The sequence below is a fragment of the Homo sapiens genome, chromosome 19, assembly GCF_000001405.40.
Source record: "Homo sapiens chromosome 19, GRCh38.p14 Primary Assembly".
NCBI lineage: Eukaryota > Metazoa > Chordata > Mammalia > Primates > Hominidae > Homo > Homo sapiens.
In genome coordinates, this window is record NC_000019.10 from 46,859,563 (window position 1) to 46,880,293 (window position 20,731).

The 20,731-nt window shown below is 46.8% G+C and overlaps 2 protein-coding genes across 4 annotated transcripts in view, besides 1 other annotated feature; one reads left to right on the forward strand and one right to left on the reverse strand.

The window, feature by feature from the left end:
- LOC124904791 (translation initiation factor IF-2-like) lies at nucleotides 27–5,968 on the reverse strand. Its single transcript, XM_047439803.1, has 4 exons — nucleotides 5,831–5,968; nucleotides 3,560–3,646; nucleotides 1,495–1,758; nucleotides 27–1,334 (listed from the first exon to the last, which is right to left on the reverse strand). Exons 1-4 carry the CDS (start codon nucleotides 5,966–5,968, stop codon nucleotides 663–665), a joined length of 1,161 nt encoding a protein of 386 aa, XP_047295759.1. The 3' UTR covers nucleotides 27–662.
- Nucleotides 1,204–1,743: a silencer, noted in NCBI's record as "silent region_10833". NCBI's record gives its function as "represses an Ori minimal core promoter by ATAC-STARR-seq in GM12878 lymphoblastoid cells {active_cell/tissue: GM12878}" and the evidence as "EXISTENCE:reporter gene assay evidence [ECO:0000049][PMID:35858748]".
- The window catches only part of ARHGAP35 (Rho GTPase activating protein 35), a 144,081-nt gene continuing 124,784 nt past the window's right edge, over nucleotides 1,435–20,731 (forward strand). For all 3 annotated transcript variants that reach the window (XR_002958305.2, NM_004491.5, XM_024451473.2), the window contains exon 1: nucleotides 1,435–1,647. The gene's annotated coding sequence lies outside the window, so the exon portion shown is untranslated. The remainder of the gene's footprint in view (nucleotides 1,648–20,731) is intronic.

Below are 20,731 nucleotides of genomic sequence, written 5' to 3' on the forward strand. Positions count from 1 at the left end.
AAAAAAAAAAGTCAATGGAAACATCCTTTAATATAAAAATCTTTATTAATGGAATAAACAAGCCCCTGTAATTTTATTTATCAACGCTTACAGAGCGCTTACTATGTATGCAATGCATGATTTCAAGAGCTTTGCAAAATATAATCTATTTAATTTTCACAGCAGCCCTACGAGAGAGGTACGATTATTATCCCATTTTATAGATGAAGAGACTGATGGCAGAAATGCCAAATGTAATAGGAAACAGCCTTTCTTCATGCATTCCACAAATATTGGCTCGGCGCCCGGGAAGCTCATCTTCCACGATCTGTACTTCCGGAGGAGTCCCAGAGGAACACCTCCTCAGTTCAGAGGAGTCAAGGGTTACAGCGGTGCCCTCTCCCATCACTACTCTTTTCCCTTCAGGCGCCCTAATTGACATTCGATTTGTAGCCATTTGCACAATGCTAAGTGACAGGCTTGGGCTGCACACAGGACCAGGCCGTCTTCCCTCTCCTGGGGATCAGTCGTTCACAGAACCAAAAACAAGTTGCATGGACGCGCGCGTTGGCTGCAGATTTTCTTCACAGCCAGGAGAAAGAGCACGCGCTCTCCAGCCCCGCCTCTTCTTCCGGGACGACGAATTGCGGGGCTCGGATTGGGCTGAGGCGGGCCACGCCTCCTCATATCCTCCAATCAACTCCCTCTCTGGTGCGCTCCCTCCTTCTCAGCCCCGCCCCACCGCCCCACGTTACGTCGCTCCTTCTGGCCTCCTCCGTTATCCCGGCGGCTGCGGCTCGCGCGGCAAACCCACCTCCCATTGCTTCCCATTGGCTGGTCAGGTCCCGCGCGAGCGGGATCGCGCCCTTCGCCCCCCACCCCCAAAACCGGGCCATGCCTCTCTCCTTCGGCTTTCTCCAGGAGCCAGCGCGAGGCAGTAGATCGGCTGCTTGAGACGCGCGCGCAGCTCCTGCGGACCACTCCCTCCGCCCTGCGCCAGCAGCTGCGCCGGCTGGCAGCCCCCCGCGCACGCGCGCTCGCCCATCCCGCTCCCTCTGCTCGTTTGCAAGTCGCCTCGCGCTCAGTCGCGACGGCGGCCGCCGCAATAGCGGCATTTTCGGGGGCGCACGCGCACTGCACCGTCCGCGGCCGTTCCTAACCTCAGGCAGCGGCTGTGGCAGTAAGCCCCTCGGGTGCGCACGCGCTCTGACCTCTTCCCACTGCCTCGCTGGTTGTCCCTTCGCGGCGCGCGCCCAGGGGCCGTTATACCCCTGCAACGGTCCACGCGCCGCGCACGCGCAGTAGCGAGGGGGCGCGCGCGCGGGAGCGGCCGTCGCAGGAAGGAGGTGCCGCCGCTGCCGCCATTGCGAGGGAGGGAGGGAGGGAGGGAGTGAGCGAGGCTGGTCCGCCCTCCCCCTGGTTGCCGCCCCTCCCCCCTTCCCCTCCCCGCCCCCCGCCCCGAGGGAGAGCCGCGGCGCGGCGGCAGGAGGAGGTGGAGGAGGCGGAGGAGGGAACCCGCGAGGGAGGGTCCGCCCGGCCCCCCGCCGCCGGAGCCGCCGCCGCCGCCTCAGCCGCCGCTGGACTAGGAGCAGGGGAACATGGCGCCGGGGCCCCCGTCGTTGCTGCCGGGATTTTGGAGGCCGGGGCCGCGCTGAGGGCGCCCAGCTGGTGAGTGCGCGAGCTCACGGGCCCCGGGCGGCGAGGCCGGGCGCCGCCCCGCTGCGGGGTCCAGGGGGAGGCGGGGACGGCGGGGCCCGGAGCCCGCGAACAATGGAGGAGCTGGAGGGGGAGGGGAGGAGCGGCCCCCCCCCCAGCCCCCCGGGCCCCGCCGTCCCCGTCGCTTCGCGCGTCGGCCCGGCCCGTGGGGCCCTCCTGCCCTTTGGACCTGCCCCTGCCCGCCCCAGCCCTGCTGTCCCCGCCGCCGCCCCCATCCCCGACCCGTTGGGATCTCGGTGTCTGCCTCGGAGCCTACCCGACTTCAGCCAACCGGTTCCCAATTCTGCGCCCCCCTTCCCCCTTCCACCCCTCCATAATGCCCTTCGCTCCTCCCGGGCTCTGCAGTGCTCCTGGGACCCATCTTCTCCTCATTGACCATTCTGCATCTCTTAATTGTGGCTCCCACTTTTGAGATCCGTGACGCTTCTCCCTCTTCTCGATTCTGCTCTCACCACCCTTCAGATCTGTCCTCGGCCCCTTCTTTGACCTACCTTCTGTGCTATTATTCCTGTCTCAGAATCTGTTGCACCCTGGGAGCTGTCCCTTTAGGACCTGCGGTTCCAACCCTTTGGAGATCCATCTGAGACCCCTGTTCGGCCAGGCACTGCTGCCCCAGGTCTTCCCCTTGGACTGAATCCCGTTCCCTCGTGGGCCCTACTACCCGCATTTCTTGTCTGCCCTCTCGCAGAGCCTGCTGCACCCCGGGATGCCCCTCGGCTGGCTTTCTGACCCTTCCGTGCCCCAGCTCATTCCCCTGATCCCCTCGGACTTGGCTGCACCGTGCTTGCCTGTTCCCCTTCTCAGCTCTTGTTCCCGTTTACCATTCAGACCCTTTCCTCTCTTCCAGACCTTTCTGCCTCTCAGCTCTGCCCCTTGCCCGACCTCAGATCTTGCTGCGCTCCCCTCACCTGCTTGCTTCTGACTCTGCCTTCCCGGGAAGCAGCCTCCTCCCCCTTCTCTGACTCTGCAGGTCTCCCATTTCTGCTATTCACTTAAATGATGTATCCCTAACTCAGACTGCCTTCAGTTTCAGCCCGTGTTCTCTTGGAGGTTTCCTCTCTTCCCCACCTCCTTTTTGGCACTCCTCTGAGCTACTGCATTCATTTGCTTCTCCTTTCTTTGGCCTGTCTCTCCTTCAGTTCTCTGCCTGAAAACTGCTTCCTGTCCCCTCTTTGCTCCAATTCCTCTCCTCCCCGTTTTAGCCCTTAGACATGCCCTTTAACCTCACTATACCTCTGATACCTCCCGGGCTGGTCACCCATCCCCTTCCTGTTCTGCATCTCACAGACCTGCCCCTAGATCCATTTTGTACCTACACTTTCTTCTCGTTTTTTTCAATTCTGCTCCATCCTCTTTATTTAGTGTTTCCCTCCCCAGCTCGGCTCCTTCGGAGCTGTCCACTTGCCCGCATATTTTTAGACCGGTTTTTAACTTCTGTATTGCCGTCCTTTCTTGGAGCGGTCCTTTAACACTGGGGTTCTTGTCACTGTGTCCCCTCTCTGTTCCCTCCCGAGTCTTTTAAGTTTTCCACATGACAGTCTCTTCCCCCCACCATTTTGATTCAGCCCTCACCCTTCACTCTGCTTTATTTGCCCACCCTCCACTGTTCTGCCTCTTGTCTTCTTTTGGAGTTCTCACTCCAATTGTGACATTACGATGTCTTCTTAATCATTCTTTCCTATGTATTCCCCCCCACCTTCCTCTTGGAGCTGCCTCAGTGCTGTGATAGATTATCACTCCCCTTTGATATCCCTCTCCCAATTCTGTTCCTCTTGGACTTGTTTCCTTCCTCACCTTTTTTTTTTTTTTCCTTCCCCTTGTATCCTGCCAGGCTCCTTCTCTTCCCATTTAGTTCCTATCAGACCTGCTCCTCGCAGCTCACCACCCGTGGCCCACCCATTCCCCATTGAGCACTTCCCCTTTCAGGCATATCTTTCTTTCCATCCCTCTGCTGCAGAGGCAAAGGGGCTGGATTGGGCCTTAGGCTCTCCAGGCTCTGAGACTGCAGATTCTCTCTCTGCGCCCTAACCCTGAGGGTTCTCTCCCCAGGGATCCTGAGAGATCTGGGTAAATAGGTGGGGGTTGGTTGATTGTTACTACTCTCTGGAGTCTGGGAGTGTCTCCCCCATTTCCCCCACTTCCACTAGGTTAGTAGTGTGGGGGGAGGTAGATCTTTTTCCATTGCCCCATTTTCTTTCCTCTGCTGTTTGCTCTCTCCCTTCCTATCTCTGGGCTTTGCAGCTTTGTGTCCTTTGGAAAAGGGGATTGCAGCTGCTCGCAGATCTTTATTCTCTTTCTCACTTTCCCTCCTTCCTTCTCTGAGCCATTGCATAGAGTACCCTCTCTCCCCTTCCACCTCTAAGCCAGCAACCCTAGGAGTGTCCTTCCCTTCCCCCCCGCCTTCGCCCCTCCCCCCCAGCTAACAAGTTATTTCAATATATAGTTTTACCTCTAGCTGGGGAAATGCCAGTTCTCAAATTATCCCGATCCCACCAGGGGTTATGGCCACAGTTGGACCTAGGGAAGCTACAGTATTGCCTTCCCTAATGGCCTCTGGTTTGCAGTGTGACCTTGTGGGAGGGGATGGGGAAGGTGGGCTTATTTCTTTTTCATCTTTGCCCCGGGAAAGGCTCCAGCTTCCTGGTCTTCAAAATGGTGAGGGCTTGGGTTTGGAAAGCACTTTGCGGTTGTTTGTTGAAAGAGAGAGTGCCAAATGTCACTCAGATTTCTGCCCTCTGGTATTGCAGGCACTCCCTGCCACAGGAGCTGAGTGCCTCTGGGCAGATCCATGCTAGATTCTGGGGCTCTTTGCCTGCCGTACAAGGGGTGTGTGGGTGGGCCCTGACATTCCTTAAGCTTTTTGAGTGACCTGATTGGGTAGAGTTAGAAAGGGGTGCCAGGAACTGGCGGATGTGATTGGATTTTTAGTCTTATTATCTGAGAAATGCGTCTTGGCTACCATTCCTGAGCGATTTTCTTTAATGACTCTATGGTTGTGGGGGGGTATTTAGTTCATTCAGGGGTAGAGGTGGTTTTTACAGAAAATCTGTCCAACCATTTTCCTTCCTTAACTTGGGAAAGGGGATCTTTTGCATGTTCTAGGTTTATTTATTTTATTTCTTAAGTAAATCAAAAGCCTGATTTTTTTCCCTGCTGTGGCCTAGGGCAATTGTATATTAAAGTAGCCATCCAACTGTGAAGGAGCATTTACTGGAAGGACTTTCTTAACTGTGCTATGATCAAACTTTGTTTATTTTAGTACTTATTTAGAAATAATTCTGTGTGGACACATTTGAAATAAAAACATTCACTGTCATCTACAGAGTTGGACCATTCACTCATCAAATATTAGGGCATTTGTATATGAGACAGTGAAGAGGGCTGATAGTAGATTTGTATGGTCCCTTGAACTTTTTAAAATTTTCTGACAGAATCTGGTAATTTTAATAATCTATGTATGGCATGGGTTTTCACCATTATTGACTTAAAGATTTTTGGTTCATTTCCGTTGGTAAATTTTTAGCCTTGTGTGTCATGATTAATTTTCTGAATTTATCTTAGAGTTTGTGTTACCCATGTTGGTGTCAATAGTTGTTTTGTTTTTTATTAATATGGAAGTGACAGATAATTAAGAATAAAAACAACTGTGTATGCAGTACTGCTTAAATGTGTGTCCCAGAGTTTTAATATCATTGGCAGCATGAAAAGTTCCTGCATGCCAAAAGCCTAAGTTTACATAATAGGGAGAGAGGACACACAGAATAGAGAGCTGATTTTTCCACCTTAACTGGTAACCGATGTTCTTAAAGACTGTCAGATTTCTCTGAGGCTAGCAGAGGCCCTAACTCCAGCATTGCCATTTGCTTTCATGATGGGATTGGGTGCTACAGAAATGTGAGGTGGTAGCCTTGGCCTTCTGGCACAGTTAATATGCCATTTGGAGTGGGGGGACTGGAGCAGGAGATGGCGGTAGACAACTGCTTTCAAGGTAGTAACATGTTTTCAAGGGCTCTTGCCCTGCCTAGAAAATCTTTGTAAAGACTTAAAAACTAATCTGATCAAAGTTCCTCATTTAAGTTATCATCTTGTTTTCAACTAACCTCTTTTTGGCCATGCTCCCCACCCGCCCTTTTACCTGCCCGCCATTTTCCTTGGCATGATGAAGGTCGATGCATTTAGAACAGTGACAAATCAGAAAATACTCATTCTTATTGATCCAGAAGAGAAGAAGTTGAAAGAAGTTGTCGGTGTGCAGATTCATGGGCAGATCCATGGACCTGATGGTGACTTTTGGCAAAGGACACAGCCTGGGAAGGGTGGGGGTTGCACAGGTGACAGTAAACCATAGCCTAATAGATGTTTGGTGAGTCTGCATGTGAGGAGGTGAGGCGTCAGGTCAATATAGTTGGAGATTGAAAAGGTCGGAGTGGTTGTTCGTCTCCATCTAGTCTGGTCTGCTTCCCAACTTTGGTCCACTGTGGTCTCCTGAGAGGTGTTAGGCCGCTTGCAGCGTCTTCCTGTGATCTGCTGTGACTTTTGTCGGTCACCACCTGGCAGTCTAAACAATGTCTTGATTTACACAGTAATCGTGACTTTTTTTGAGATGGAGTTTCCCTCCTGTTGCCCAGGCTGGAGTGCAATGGCGCAATCTCAGCTCACCACAACCTCTGCCTCCTGGGTTCAAGCGATTCTTCTGTGTCAGCCTCCCGAGTAGCTGGGATTACAGGCATGCACCACCACGCCAGGTTAATTTTTGTATTTTTAGTAGAGATGGGGTTTCACCATGTTGGCCAGGCTGGTCTTGAACTCCTGACCTCAAGTGATCCACCTGCCTCGGCCTCCCAAAATGCAGAGATTACAGGCACGAGCTACTGCGCCTGGCCTGTTTTTCCCTTTTTTAAAAAATCTTTTGTTATTCATCACAGCACTATCCATGATGTCCAGTTGGTAAGATTTCTTTTTCACGATCTGTAAAATAGGTAAAATTGAGATTCTTTGCATGAAGAGAGAAGGTGACTAGCACAAATACCTCCTTTGACGCCTTGCGTTCATTGGAACTCAGTGGGAAAATCAGCGCGTAGTCTAGCCTCCTCATTTACAGATGGAGGAATGGAAGGCTGGCATAGGGCATTGTGACAGGCTTCCTGCCACAGCAGAAAAGTACTGGATTTATATAAGGGCAGTGACCTGGCTTCTGATCTAGGCCTTGTCCTAATTAGCTGGGACCTTGAACAAATTGCTTGACCTCTCTGGGCTTCACCTTCCTAGTCTGAAGCCTGGAGTGCTGTCCAGGTCTGATTGTAGATTCTTGTTGTCCTGGGTCACTTACCAAGTTAGAGTTGGAGCTTAGGACTAAGCTCCTGTTGCTACTCTTTGATTCCTCTCTCACCTGCCAATCCCCAACTGCCTGTCATCAAGTCCCGTAACCCAGAGTCTGTGTAGGGGGCTCTTTCCCTGGGAGATGCAGTAAAATGAACTGGATTACCTTTGTTGTATACTTTTTCAGATATAAAATAAACACTGCCTGTTTTTCAACCATTCACATGGAGATTACTTTATAATTTAGGGGGATGGGGTTATCCAGATTATATTAGCTACATAACTAAAACCATATACCTCTTTTAAAAACGATATGGAATTTTTCAAGCTGAGTCATTGTTGACCTAGGCTCTCAAACAGCAATGGTCTGAACAGCACTTGTATTGCTGGCATTAAGAAATGCAAACAAATAATTCGTGTTCATCTTCCCAAAACTTTTGATCCAGTGCTTTATCAGGCTTCATCTATAAAGAATTCTTGAAGATAACTTTTGGCATCTGTCAATCTAATTTTCATTTATTTGCTTCTCTGATACTGAGAAATGCCATTAAGTTGATATATTAGCAGAGAACCAGATACTTTCAGCCATGAAGTATCATTACAGGAAAGTAATATTTATTTTAGTTGAAAATAGCCAGACTTGCCTATCTCTCTCATCTTCCTTTATTGAAACGAACATTTTCTTTTTATGTACTTTGCAGCAGTTGTGACTGTTGTATTATAGATCTGCAGGTATTTCCTGCCTCTTTTGCTCTCCTGATATCTCTGCATTCTTACTTGGATGATGCCCTCGTCCTGGCCACTGTAGTAAACTGGTAATTGCATTTGGACAATTGAGAGGCGGCTTCCTATGATGTAAAGAACATTGAAGAAACCTGGGTCCTAGCCCTAGCCCTGTCATTTACTAGCTTTGTGACTAGCCAAATCATTTTCATTTCTCTGGACTACAGTTCCTTCATTTGAAAAATGAAGGGATTATACTAGTTGGTTCCCATTCTGCCTTATTTTGTGGCTAATAATACTTGATTGTCATCTCTCTCTCTAGATAGACAGTAAACTCCTGAGGATGAGGAGCCTCTTATATTATCTTTGATTTCCTATCACACCTAGCAAAAATACCTTGTACTTGGTAGGCCCCCATTGTGTCCATGTTGACAGAAGATAAACAGGTGCTAAAGTTTTTTGTTGTTGTTGTTGTTGTTTTTTTTTTGGAGATGTTTGTACCAACTGTAATGGCCATTTGCAGGCTTTAAATGCTTAGAGGGCATGCTCTCCTGGTCAGCCTTTTTTTAAATTTTTTCTTTTTTTGAGACAGAGTCTCGCTCTATCGCCCAGGCTGGAGTGCAGTGGCGAGATCTCAGCTCACTACAAAGTCCGCCTCCTGGATTCCAGCGATTCTTGTGCCTCAGCCTCCCAAGTAGCTGGGATTACAGGCGCACGCCCACCATGCCCATCTAGTTTTTATATTTTTAGTAGAGACGGGGTTTTGCCATGTTGGCCAGCCTGGTCTCGAACTCCTGACCTCAGGTGATCCACCTGCCTCAGCCTCCCAAAGTGCTGGGATTACAGGTGTGAGCTACCGCGCCTGGCTCTGGCCCAGTATACTTTAATCTGCATACTTGCTGCATTGTAAATTTCTTGATCATGATGACACAGTTAATAAGTAGTAAGTCAGTGTGAAGAATCCAGATCTGTCTGATTTCAAAATTTGTTTATTTTATTAGGCTACACTGCCTCTCTGGGTATAAGAATAAGCATAGTTCATCACCTTAAGGAATTTATGGTCAATTGTAAACAATTAACTATATAGGGTGAAGGGAAGTAAATGTTGAATAGACTATTCTGATTAATGTCTGGCTCCTTGGGATGTGATCCTGTATTAATAGTCTTGAAGACTTTCATATTCAGAGATTTGAGCACACAGTAGGTTCCATATCACAGTATTTTGAAAAGAATGTACACCACAAGTACCAGCTTGCCTTTTTAGCCAGCATATTTGGAAAAGTTGAGCATTTTATGTCTGACCTGAATTCAAACACAGGTGTAACAAAACTGTGTAAGTAAACTAGTCTAACAGGAAGAAGGTAGAGATGTTTGGTCATGTAATGACTCCTTAAATCTACATTTTTTTCAGCAAGTAGAAAAGTATTTGGGTAGCTACAAATGGAGAGATTTTTCTTTAGGCAACTAAAAATATATACATAGAATATATACAACTACAATTTGCCAATTTACAATTAAAAAATAAAAATTAAAAGAAACATACAGATAGAAATACATCTTTCCTCTTGAGTTATTTAGGTGGAGCTCACCGTGATTTTTTTTTTTTTTTTTTTTTTTTTTTTTGGTGACGTAGTCTTGCTCTGTCACTCAGGCTGGAGCACAGTGGTACCATCTCAGCTCACTACAACCTTCACCTTCCAGGTTCAAGCGATTCTCCTGCTTCAGCCTCCGAAGTAGCTGGGATTACAGGCACTTGCCACCACGCCTGGCTAGTTTTTTTGTATTTTTAGCAGAGTCGGGTTTCACCATGTTGGCCAGGCTGGTCTTGAACTCCTGACCTCATGTGATCCACCTGCCTTGGCCTCCCAGAGTGCTGGGATTACAGGCCTGAGACTCCACATCTGGACATGATACTTTATTTAGTAACTTTTTGCATTTTAAAAAAATGTTAGTCTAAAAGTATGCTGGTTAGTTACAGCTAATAGCCTCCTGAGGTGTATATATATAGTTGGCCAGGCGTGGTGGCTCACGCCTGTAATCCCAGCACTTTGGAAGGCCAAGGTGGGCAGATCACCTAAACGCCTAACCCCCAGAGGTAAAGGCTGCAGTGAGCCATGATCGCATCACTGCAGTCCTGCCTGGGTGATGGAGTGAGACCTTGTCTCAAGAAAAAAAATTGTGTGTGTGTGTGTGTGTGTGTGTGTGTGTGTATTTGCATTGTGTGTGTGTATGTATATAGTTGCATTGTGCTTTTCCCCCATTTTCATTTAAAAGAAAGGTCAAAACTGTGGCTTTATCTCTTGCAGCCTGCACTACTTAGGAATGAGACAAAGGAAAATGATTACCATTAATTGCCATGGGCAATTAAAAAGAGTTCTTTGTTCAGTAACAAATTGATTGTGTACAAATGAAAGTCAGCACTGCATTAATACAAGATTATTAGATTCTTGAAATCAGCATCTTCTGCTAGAGTAGCTTTCACTTCAAGGGAATTATTTCACTGGGAATAGCGTACCTAAATGATTGGTGATAAAATGTATCACTAGGTCTTTATTTTTCAGAAATGCCTGTTAACGTTGTAGGTAGAGGCTGGTGGATGCTGCTTTTATGGTAACCTTTTTAATGTCCTGAAATCACTGTGTACTTTTTTTTTTTTTTTTTTTTTGAAACAGAGTCTTGCTTTGTCGCCCAGGCTGGAGTGCAGTGGCGCCATCTCGACTCACTGCAAGCTCCGCCTTCTGGGTTCACGCCATTCTCCTGCCTCAGCCACCCAAGTAGCTGGGACTACAGGCGCCCGCCACCATGCCTGGCTAATATTTTGTATTTTATTTAGTAGAGACGGGGTTTCACTGTGTTAGCCAGGCTGGTCTCGAACTCCTGACTTTGTGATCCGCCCACCTCTGCCTCCCAAAGTGCTGGGATTACAGGCGTGAGCTACCACGCCCGGCTTGTATACTTTTTTTAATGCTGTCAATGTATAAGAAATTTCTTCTTCTGGGCTGGGCACGGTGGCTCATGCCTGTAATCCCCAGCACTTTGGGAGGCCGAGGCGGGTGGATCACGAGGTCAGGAGATCGAGACCACCGTGGCTAATACGGTGAAATCCCATCTCTACTAAAAATACAAAAAATTAGCCGGGTGTGGTGGCGGGCGCCTGTAGTCCCAGCTACTCAGGAGGCTGAGGTAGGAGAATGGCGTGAACCCAGGAGGCGGAGCTTGCAGTGAGCCGAGGTCGTGCCACTGCACTCCAGCCTGGGTGACAGAGCAAGACTCAGTCTCAAAGAAAAAAAAAAAATTTCTTCCTCTGATTGGTCAGTCAACTGAGGAACGTAGATAAAACCTTTGATAAATGAGGAAGAAGAGAAAAAGACTCCTGACTGCTGTGGAGTAGGTCTTGGCTGTTGGCATGTACCTAGTAGTAGCCACGCAACAACCATAAAGGCTTAAAAAATGGCAGCCTTAGCTAAAGTAGTTGTGATTTGATGTTATGTATATACAAGGTGTATATATTTTCTTGTGTGCAAATCCCCTTTTAAGTTTTTTCTTAAAAAAAAATAAGGTATAATCTACATGTAGAAAAGTACGTAAATCTTAAGTGTCCATTTCTGAATTTTTTGCATGTTGTACAAGCCCCTTTTTCATATGATGGGGCATAATTCCCTTTTCTACATAGTTCTTACTGAGCCGGAAATTATTTGAGAGTCTCTATATAAGGCACTTCAATTATTACTTTATATTTAATATACAAATGTGAACATGTAGGATGTTTCTAACTTTACCCATCTGGGCAGGGTCAAATACCTGATAAAGAATGGGATAACGGTGATTTCATTGTATAAACTGTCACAAGTGTGAAAGCATTCTTTTAACAACATCTTTTCTACTCGTGTTGTTAATTCCAGATTATTTTGATCTTTGTTTGCTGGAAATTAAAAGAAAAGAGATAGTGGTCACTGCTAATGAGAGTGAAATGGGACTGGTATTGAAATTGCTATCAGGCCTGCAAACAAGTGTGAACTTTCAGGAAAGTAGTTTAGCAATGTTTTATTTGTTTGTTTTTTGAGATGGAGTCTTGCTCTGTCACCCAGGCTAGAGTGCAGTGGCATGGTCTTGGCTCACTGCGACCTCCACCTCCCAGGTTAAAGCAGTTCTCCTGCCTCAGCCTCCCCAGTAGCTGAGATTACAGGTGCGTGCCACCACGCCTGGCTAATTTTTGTACTTTTAGTAGAGATGGGGTTTCGCCATGTTGGCCAGGCTGGTCTTGAACTCCTGACCTCATGTGATCCACCTGCCTCAGCCTCCCAAAGTGCTGGGATTACAGGCGTGAGCCACCATGCCCGTCCAGCAATGTTTTAAGAAACGTACAATCCTTGATCTACTTATAAGAATCTATAGAGGGCTGGGTGCAGTGGCTCATGCCTGTAATCCCAGCACCTGGGGAGGCCTAGGCAGGCGGATCACTTGAGGTCGGGAGTTCGAGACCAGCTTGGCCAACATGGTGAAACCCTGTCTCTACTAAAAACACAAAAAATTAGCCAGGCATGGTGGCGGGTGCCTGTAATCCCAGCTACTCGGGAGGCTGAGGCAGGAGAATCGCATGAACCCAGAAGACAGAGGTTGCAGTGAGCGGAGATTATGCCACTGCACTCCAGCATGGGTGACAGAGTGAGACTCTTTGTCTCACACACACAAAACAAAGAATATATAGGGACCAAGAAAGAGAGATGTGAATCAAGATTGTATACAAAAGAGATGTTAACTATGTTAACTATATGAATGTTTATAAATTTAAAAAAAAATCTAAATGTTTTAACCTTAGGGGAATGGTTTGCTTTGTGGAAAGGTTATGGAGTCATTAAAAAAGTATGTTTTTGAGAATACTTGACGTGGGAAAGTGCACACAAAATAAAATTAAATGTGGGAAAAAATAGGATATAGAACTATAAACAGCATGAGTCCAGTTATTTTAAAATATATATGTGAAAAAGTGGAAGAAATATGCTGAAGTGTTATTAGTTAACTCTGTGTTGTAGGATTATGGGTGATTAAAACTTTTTTTTTAATTTTCCCAAGCTTTCCACAATGATTTTACTATTTCTGATTCAGGGAAAAAAAGATTAAACAAGTTTTTTTTTTTTTTGTAGTGTGGTTGTGTTGTGTTTGGTTTTTCTTATAAACATATGAAAGAAAAATTGAGCTGAAAAGCAAGAAATTCATGGTAAGATCTGTTGGACTCTAGTACCTTTGAAGGTAAGGCATTCACCCTTTCTTAGAGAATAATCAAATTAATTACTAATAAGGCTGGGTGAGGTGGCTCAAGCCTGTAATCCCAGCACTTTGGGAGGCCGAGGCGGGCGGATCACAAGGTCAGGAGATCGAGACCGTCCTGGCTAACACGGTGAAACTCCGTCTCTACTAAAAATACAAAAAAATTAGCCGGGCATGGTGGCAGGCGCCTGTAGTCCCAGCTACTCAGGAGGCTGAGGCAGGAGAATGGCGTGAACCCGGGAGACGGAGCTTGCAGTGAGCCGAGATTGTGCCACTACACTCCGGCCTGGGCGACAGAGCAAGACTCCGTCTCAAAAAAAAAAAAAAATTAATTACTAATAATATTACCAAATAATAACAATGAACTGTTTATTACATACCAGAAGACTAAAAAATGTTATCTCATTTTCTCCTCACAATAACCCTCTGGGGTAGGTGGTATTCTTACCTTCTAGGTGGGAAACCGAGGTTGCAGAGAGGGGACTTGCCCAAGGCCACATGGCTAGTAGGTCCCCAAAGCAGTCTGGCCCAGAGTCTCTGCTCTCTGTTGACTTCTCTGGCCGACTTTACAGTTTCCAGAGTGCTTTTTTAACACACTTTCCAGAAAGTCTGGAAAGGACTTTACACTTTCCAGAATGCTTTCGCCCAGTGTGATCTCAGCCCAGAGATGAAGAGAATTCAAGTCTACTCCATGGTGGATAGATAGAGCTGAACCCTTAGTTCTCTTTGAACAAGGTTCCCTTCTAACCCCTAAAGTGTGCTTGTTTTAAGAGAAAGGAGCCGGCTGGGCATGGTGGCTCACACTTGTAATCCTAGCACTTTGGTGGGCCGAGGTGGGCGGATAATTTGAGGTCAGGAGTTCGAAACTACCCTAGCCAACATTGGTGAAACCCCATCTCTACTAAAAATACAAAAAAAAAATTAGCCCAGGCTTGGTGGCGGGCACCTGTAATCCTGCTACTTGGGAGGCTGCGGCAGGAGAATTGCTAGAACCCAGGAGGTGGAGGTTGCAGTGAGCTGAGATCGCGCCACTGCACCCCACCTGGCTGACAGAGCGAGACTCTTTCTCAAAAAAAAAAAAAAGCCGTCGGTCAAAGTCAGGAATGGCTATAAAATTAGTGATGTGTTCCCTTTTATGGGCCAAAAACATCATTTTAATGAGATTTAAATTTATTTAAGCTTTTTTTTTTTCTTTTTTGAGACGGAGTTTTGCCCTTGTTGCCCAGGCTGGCGTGCAGTGGCACGATCTCGGCTCACTGCAACTTCCGCCTCCGGGGTACACGCCATTCTCTGGCCTCAGCCTCCCAAGTAGCTGGGATTACAGGCATGCGCCACCACCCTGGGCTAATTTTGTATTTTTAGTAGAGACGGGGTTTCCCCATGTTAGTGAGGCTGGTCTCAAACTCCTGACCTCAGGTGATCTGCCCGCTTCAGCCTCCCAAATGCTGGGATTACAGGCGTGAGCCACCTCGCCTGGCTAAGCTATTAATTAAATTTTTTTTCCCAAAGTCCTGTTTTGAAGTCCTGTCTATAATTAATTTTATTTAAATAATTTAGCAAAAGTTTGTTAAGCAGAAGAGGGAACAAACTAGTTCTTTGTAGTTCCAGAGGATAGAGGTAGAGGTCTAGGTATCTACAAGGTTTAGAGTGCACAAAACATGCCTCTTCCTCTCTGGGAGAATTTTTATGCCGTTTATAAAACAAAAGCAATTCTTCCCTTACAGGTAACACAAGGAACACACTGTTTCTTTACCAGAATGTAAAAAATTTAGAAGGCCAGTGGCCTGATTGTTTTTACTTGATCTTATCTTAAAGAATTATGTGTGACTAAGCATTTCAATGCAAGAATGCATTGACTAGGAAGACAGATTTCGTCTTATTATGAGAAAGAACTTTTAAAGAAAACGATCCAAGCTCATGTTTTATGTTTTGTCTTTTTTTTTTTTTTTTTTTTGAGTCGGAGTCTTGCTCTGTTGCCCAGGCTGGAGTACAATGGCACAATCTTCGGCTCACAGCAACCTCCGCCTCCTGCGTTCAAGCGATTCTCCTGCCTCAGCCTCCTGAGTAGCTGGGATTACAGGCGCCTGCTACCATGCCTGGCTAATTTTTGTATTTTTGATAGAGACGGAGTTTCACCTTATTGGTCAGGCTGGTCTCGAACTCCTGACCTCGTGGTCCAGCCGCGTTGGCCTCCCAAAGCGCTAGGATACAGGTGTGAGCCACTGCGCCCGGCAGTTTTGTCCTTTTTTTTTTTTTTTTTTTGAGACGGAGTCTTGCTCTTTTGCCCAGGCTGGAGTGCAATGGCTCAGTCTCAGCTCACTGCAACCTCCGCTTCCCGGGTTCAAGCGGTTCTCCTGCCTCAGCCTCCTGAGTAGCTGGGATTACAGGCGCCCACCACCACACCCGGCTAATGTTTGTATTTTTAGTAGAGACGGGGTTTCACCATGTTGGTCAGGCTGGTCTCGAACTCCTGACCTTGTGATCTGCCCGCCTCGGCCTTCCAAGAAGTGCAGGGATTACAGGTGTGAGCCACCGCACCTGGCCCCATTTTGTGTTGGATAAGCAATAATTTTAAAGTTTACCCCATTTGGTTTTATTGTTGTTTTTATTTAACAAGACGTCTACACATATATCTATTAAATATTTATTTACTGATCATTCTTTCTGTTGTCGGGGAGAGTAACAGATCTTCAGTTCAAGGAGGTTGGCGTTCAGACATCAGGAAGAAATTGCAAAATAAAGTGTTTTGGATCCTCTGTGAGATTTTTGTCTTTTGTTCCTCCATTTGTTCTGTGACATCACCTAGAACATGACCTGACAGGTCAGTAGGAGCTCAGTCTTCATTGAATAAAAGTATGAGTTTCTGAATGAGAGAATCCTGGAATAGATGAAGTCTGTCGCCTTTCAGTCTTCAGATTCTTGGGATTCCTCAAGCCATGTAGAGGAAAGAAACTTTCCTATTGTTAGTTTTCATTTGCATCTTACCAACTTTGTGACTTAGGACAAGTCATTTATTCTTAATCTGAGTTCTCGTGTCTATAAAATGGGCTTAAATACCTATTTTGCTTGCCACAGTCTTTTTATTTTTATTTTTTGAGAACTAAATACCATAACGCTAAAGTTGGTAACCTTTGAGTTTGCTGGAAGAATGAAAGAGAACAATTAGGTAATTAAAATGTTCAGGTAAGCGAGCATGTGAGGGTGCTGCAAAGGCGGCGTGATGAAATTTTGGATCAGTGGAGTGGCACATGCTATTGATTTGTTATCTCTTGGTCTTTGTACAACTTGTAATTTGCCCCCAGGTAGCAGATAGTTTGAAGGTCTTATCAGAAAGTGTCTCATACACCTAAATGTTAACACCAGGTCATAGGCCAAATAGCAGTTGTCCACATTTGTGGAGGCCTCCGTTACTCTTTTTCTCATCATGACACATGGCCTAGGTTTGAGTCCCAGTCCCACCTCTTACCTGCTCTGCACCCTCCGACAAGGCCCTTTAAACTCTTGGTGCCTTAGGCACGTCGTCTTAAAAAGGAGAATATAGTAGTGTTTACTCATAGGGTAACTGTGCTAGTTAATATGCTTACTGTGTGTCATTATTAGTGCTGCACTACCTGGACCTGGCTTTATTTTTTTTTTTTAATTTAATTTTTTTTTTGAGACAGGATCTCACCCACGTTCCATGGAGTACAGTGGCATGATCACACCTTACTGCAGCCTTACCTCACAGGCTCAATCATCTTGCTTCAGCCTCTGAGTAGCTGGGACCACAGGTGTATGCATGCCACCAAGCCCAGCTAATTTTTTTTAAATTTTTTTTTTCTTTTAAGATGGAGTCTCACTCTGTTGCCCAGGCTGGAGTATAGTGGTACAATCTCGGCTCACTGCAGCCTCTGTCTCCCAGTTCAAGCGATTCTCCTGCCTCAGCCTCCCAAGTAGCTGGGACTACAGGCACCCACCACCACGCCCGGCTAATTTTTGTATTTTTAGTAGAGACGGGGTTTCACCATATTGGCCAGGCTGGTCTCGAACTCCTGACCTCATGATTCACCTGCCTCGGCCTCCCAAAGTGCTGGGATTACAGGCGTGAGCCACCATGCCCAGCCTAAATGTTTTTATTTTTCATAGAGACGGGGACTCGCTGTGTTGCCCAGGCTGGTCTTGAACTCTAGACTCAAGCCTCCCTTTTCAGCCTCCCAAAGTGCTGGGATTACAGGTGTGAGCACGTGGCTGGACTTGGCTTTAAGAGACCAGCTAAAGAATATAGTGGTAGGAAAATAAATACAGGCATAACTCAGAGATAGTGTGGGATTAGTTCCAGACTACTGCAATAAAGCATATATGGCAATAAAGCCAGTCACACGAAGTTTTTCGTTTCCCAGTGCATATAAAAGTTAAGTTTTGGCCGGGCGCAGTGGCTCATGCCTGTAATCCCAGCACTTTGGGAGGCCGAGGCGGGTGGATCACCTCAGGTCAGGAGTTCGAGACCAGCCTAACCAACATGGAGAAACCCCATCTCTACTAAAAATACAAAATTAGTCAGGCGTGGTGGCGCATGCCTGTAATCCCAGCTACTCAGGAGGCTGAGGCAGGAGAATCGCTTGATGAAACCAAGAGGCGGATGTTGCAGTGAGCTGAGATCACGCCATTGCGCTCCAGCCTGGGTAGCGAGTAAAACTGTCTCAAAAAAAAAAAAAAAAAAAAAAGTTATGTTTTGGCTGGGCGCAGTGGGTCATGCCTGTAATCCCAGCACTTTGGGAGGCGGAGGTGGGTGGATCACCTAAGGTCAGGAGTTCGAGACCAGCCTGGCCAAAGTGGTGAAACCCTGTCTCTACTAAAAATACAAAAACTAGCCGGGCGTGGTGGTGGGCACCTGTAATCCCCAGCTACTCAGAAGGCTGAGTCAGGAGAATCACTTGAACCTGGGAGGTGGAGGTTGCAGTGAGCCATGATCACACCATTGCACTCCAGCCTGAGCAAAAAGAGCAAGACTCTTGTCTCAAAAAATAACAATAAATAAAAATTAAAAAATAAAAGTTATCTTTATGCCGTACTGTAGTCTAAGTGTGCAGTATCATTATGTCTTTAAAAAAGTATATACCTTAATTTAAAAGTACCTTTTTAAAAATTTAAATATTTTATTAATTTTTTTTTTGGAGGGGGGACAGTTTCGCTCTTGTTGGCCAGGCTGGAGTTCAGTAGTGCCATCTCAGCTCACTGCAACCTCTGCCTCCCGGGTCCAGGCAATCCTCCTGCCTCAGCCTCCCAAGTAGCTGGGATTACAGGCGCCTGCCACCGCGCCTGGCTAATTTTTTGAATTTTTAGTAGAGACGGGGTTTCATCATGTTGGCCAAGCTGGTCTCGAACTCCTGACCTCAGGTGATCCACCTGCCTCGGCCTCCCAAAGTACTGGAATTACAGGCATTAGCCACCGCTCCCGGCCTAAATTTTTTCATTTTTTAAGTTTATTTTTTTGAGACAGAGTCTTCCTTTGTTGCCCAGGCTAGAGAGTATAGTGGTGCAATCTTGGCTCACTGCACCTTCCACCTCCCAGATTTAAGCGAGTCTCTCTCAGCATCCTGAGCAGCTGGAACTACAGATGCGCACCACCACACCTGGCTAAATGTTTTGTATTTTTAGTAAAAACGGGATTTCTCCACATTGACCAGGCTGGTCTCAAACTCCTGACCTCAAGTGATCCACCCACCTCGGCTTTCTAAAGTGCTGGGATTACAGGTATGAGCCATCGCGCTTGGCCTAATTTTTATTTTTTTGAGAGAGACTCTCACTCTGTCACCCAGGCTGGGGTGCGGTGGTGCAGTCTCAGCTCACTGCAACGTCTCTCGGGTTCAAGCAATTCTTGTGCCTCAACCTCTGGAGTAGCTGGGTCTAGAGATGCGCACACTACCACGCTTGGCTAATTTTTGTATTTTTCATAGAGATGGGGTTTCGCCATGTTGGCCAGGGTGGTCTCAAACTCTTAGCCTCAAGTGATTTGCCCACCTCGGCCTCCGGAAGTGCTGGGTTTATAGGCCGGAGCCACTGTGTCCAGCTCCCACAACTTCCTTTGTTTTTGTTGTTGTTGTTGTTGTTTTTTGAGATGTCTCATTCTGTTGACCAGCCTGGAGTGCAGTGGTGTGGTCACAGCTCACTGCAACCTCAACCTCCTGGGCTCAAGTGATTCTCTGGACTCAGCCTCCTGTAAAAATACTTTATTACTTAAAAAATGCTGGTGATCATCTGAGCCTTTGGTGAATCATAACCTTTTTGCTAGTGGAGGGTCCTGCCTTGATGCTGATGGCTTCTGACTCATGGTGGTGGTTACTGAAGGTTGGGCTGGCTGCAGCAGTTTGTTAAAATAAGGCAGCAGTGAAGTTTGCTACATTCATTGATTCTTCCTTTCGTGAAAGATTTCTGTATAGCATGCAATGCTGTTTGATAGCATTTTATCCACCGTAGAACTTCTTTCAAAATTAGAGTCAATCCTCTGAAACCCTGCTGCTACTTTATCAGCTAAGCTATGTAATACTCTGAATCCTTTGTTGTCATTTCTGCAGTGTTCACAGCATCCTCACCAGGAGTAGATTCCATCTTAAAAAATTGCTGGGCGGGCCAGGCACGGTGGCTTAACGCCAGTAATCCCAGCTCTTCGGAAGGCCGAGGTGACCTCATCTGAGGTCAGGAGTTGGAGACCAGCCTGGCCAACATGGAGAAACCGTGTCTCTACTAAAAATACAAAAATGGCCAGGTGCAGTGGCTCACACCTATAATCCCAGCACTTAGGGAGGCCAAGGCAGGCAGATCACGAGTTCAGGAGATAGAGACCATCCCGGCTAACATGGTGAAACCCCGTCTCTACTAAAAATACAAAAATTAGCTGAGCGTGGTGACACATGCCTGTAATCCCAGGTACTCAGGAGGCTGAGGTAGAAGAATCGATTGAACCCGGGAGGAAGAGGTTGCAGTGAGCCAAGATCGCGCCACTGCACTCCAGCCAGGACAACAGAGTGAGACTCCATCTCAAAATAAATAAATAAATAAATAAATAAATAAAAATAAAAATACAAAAATTAGCCACGCATGGTGGTGAGCAACTGTAGTCCCAGCTACTCAGGAGGGTGAGGCAGGAGAATCGCTTGAACCCGGGAGGCTGAGGTTACAGTGAGCTGAGATTGCAGCATTGCACTCCAGCCTGGGTGGCAGAACTAGACTCTTGTCTCAAAAAAAAAAAAAAAAAATCGCTGGGTGCAGTGGCCAACCCCTGTGACCCCAGCACTTTGAGAGGCCAAGGTGGACGGATCACTTGAGGCCAGAAGTTAGGGACCAGCCTGGCCAACATGGTAAAACCCCATATCTACTAAGAATACACAAATTAGCCAGGCATGGTGGTATATGCCTGTAATCCCAGAAACTTGGGAGGTTGAGGCATGAGAATTGCTTGAAACCTGGAGGCGGAGGTTGCAGTGAGCTGAGACTGTGCCACTGCACTCCAGCCTGGGTGATGAGGCAAGACAATGTCTCAAAAAATAAATAAATAAATAAATAAATAAATAAATCACTTTCTTTGCTCACCAATAAGCAATTCCTGGCTGGGCGTGTGGCTCACGCCTGTAATCCCAACACTTCGGGAGGCTGAGGCGGGTGAGTCACCTGAGGTCAGGAGTTCGACACCAGCCTGGCCAACATGGAGAAACCCCCTCTCTACTAAAAATACAAAATTTGCCGAGCA

Coding starts and splice junctions, on each gene's coding strand:
- LOC124904791 (XM_047439803.1), bottom strand. CDS start 5,968: ATGGATCTGCCCATGAATCTGCACACCGACAACTTCTTTCAACTTCTT. Junction 1,759..3,559: donor TGGTGAGCTGCGAGGAGCAG/GTCTGATAGGAA, acceptor CTCCCCCTCCAG/CTCCTCCATTGTTCGCGGGC. Junction 1,335..1,494: donor GGGCGGACCCTCCCTCGCGG/GTTCCCTCCTCC, acceptor CAATGGCGGCAG/CGGCGGCACCTCCTTCCTGC.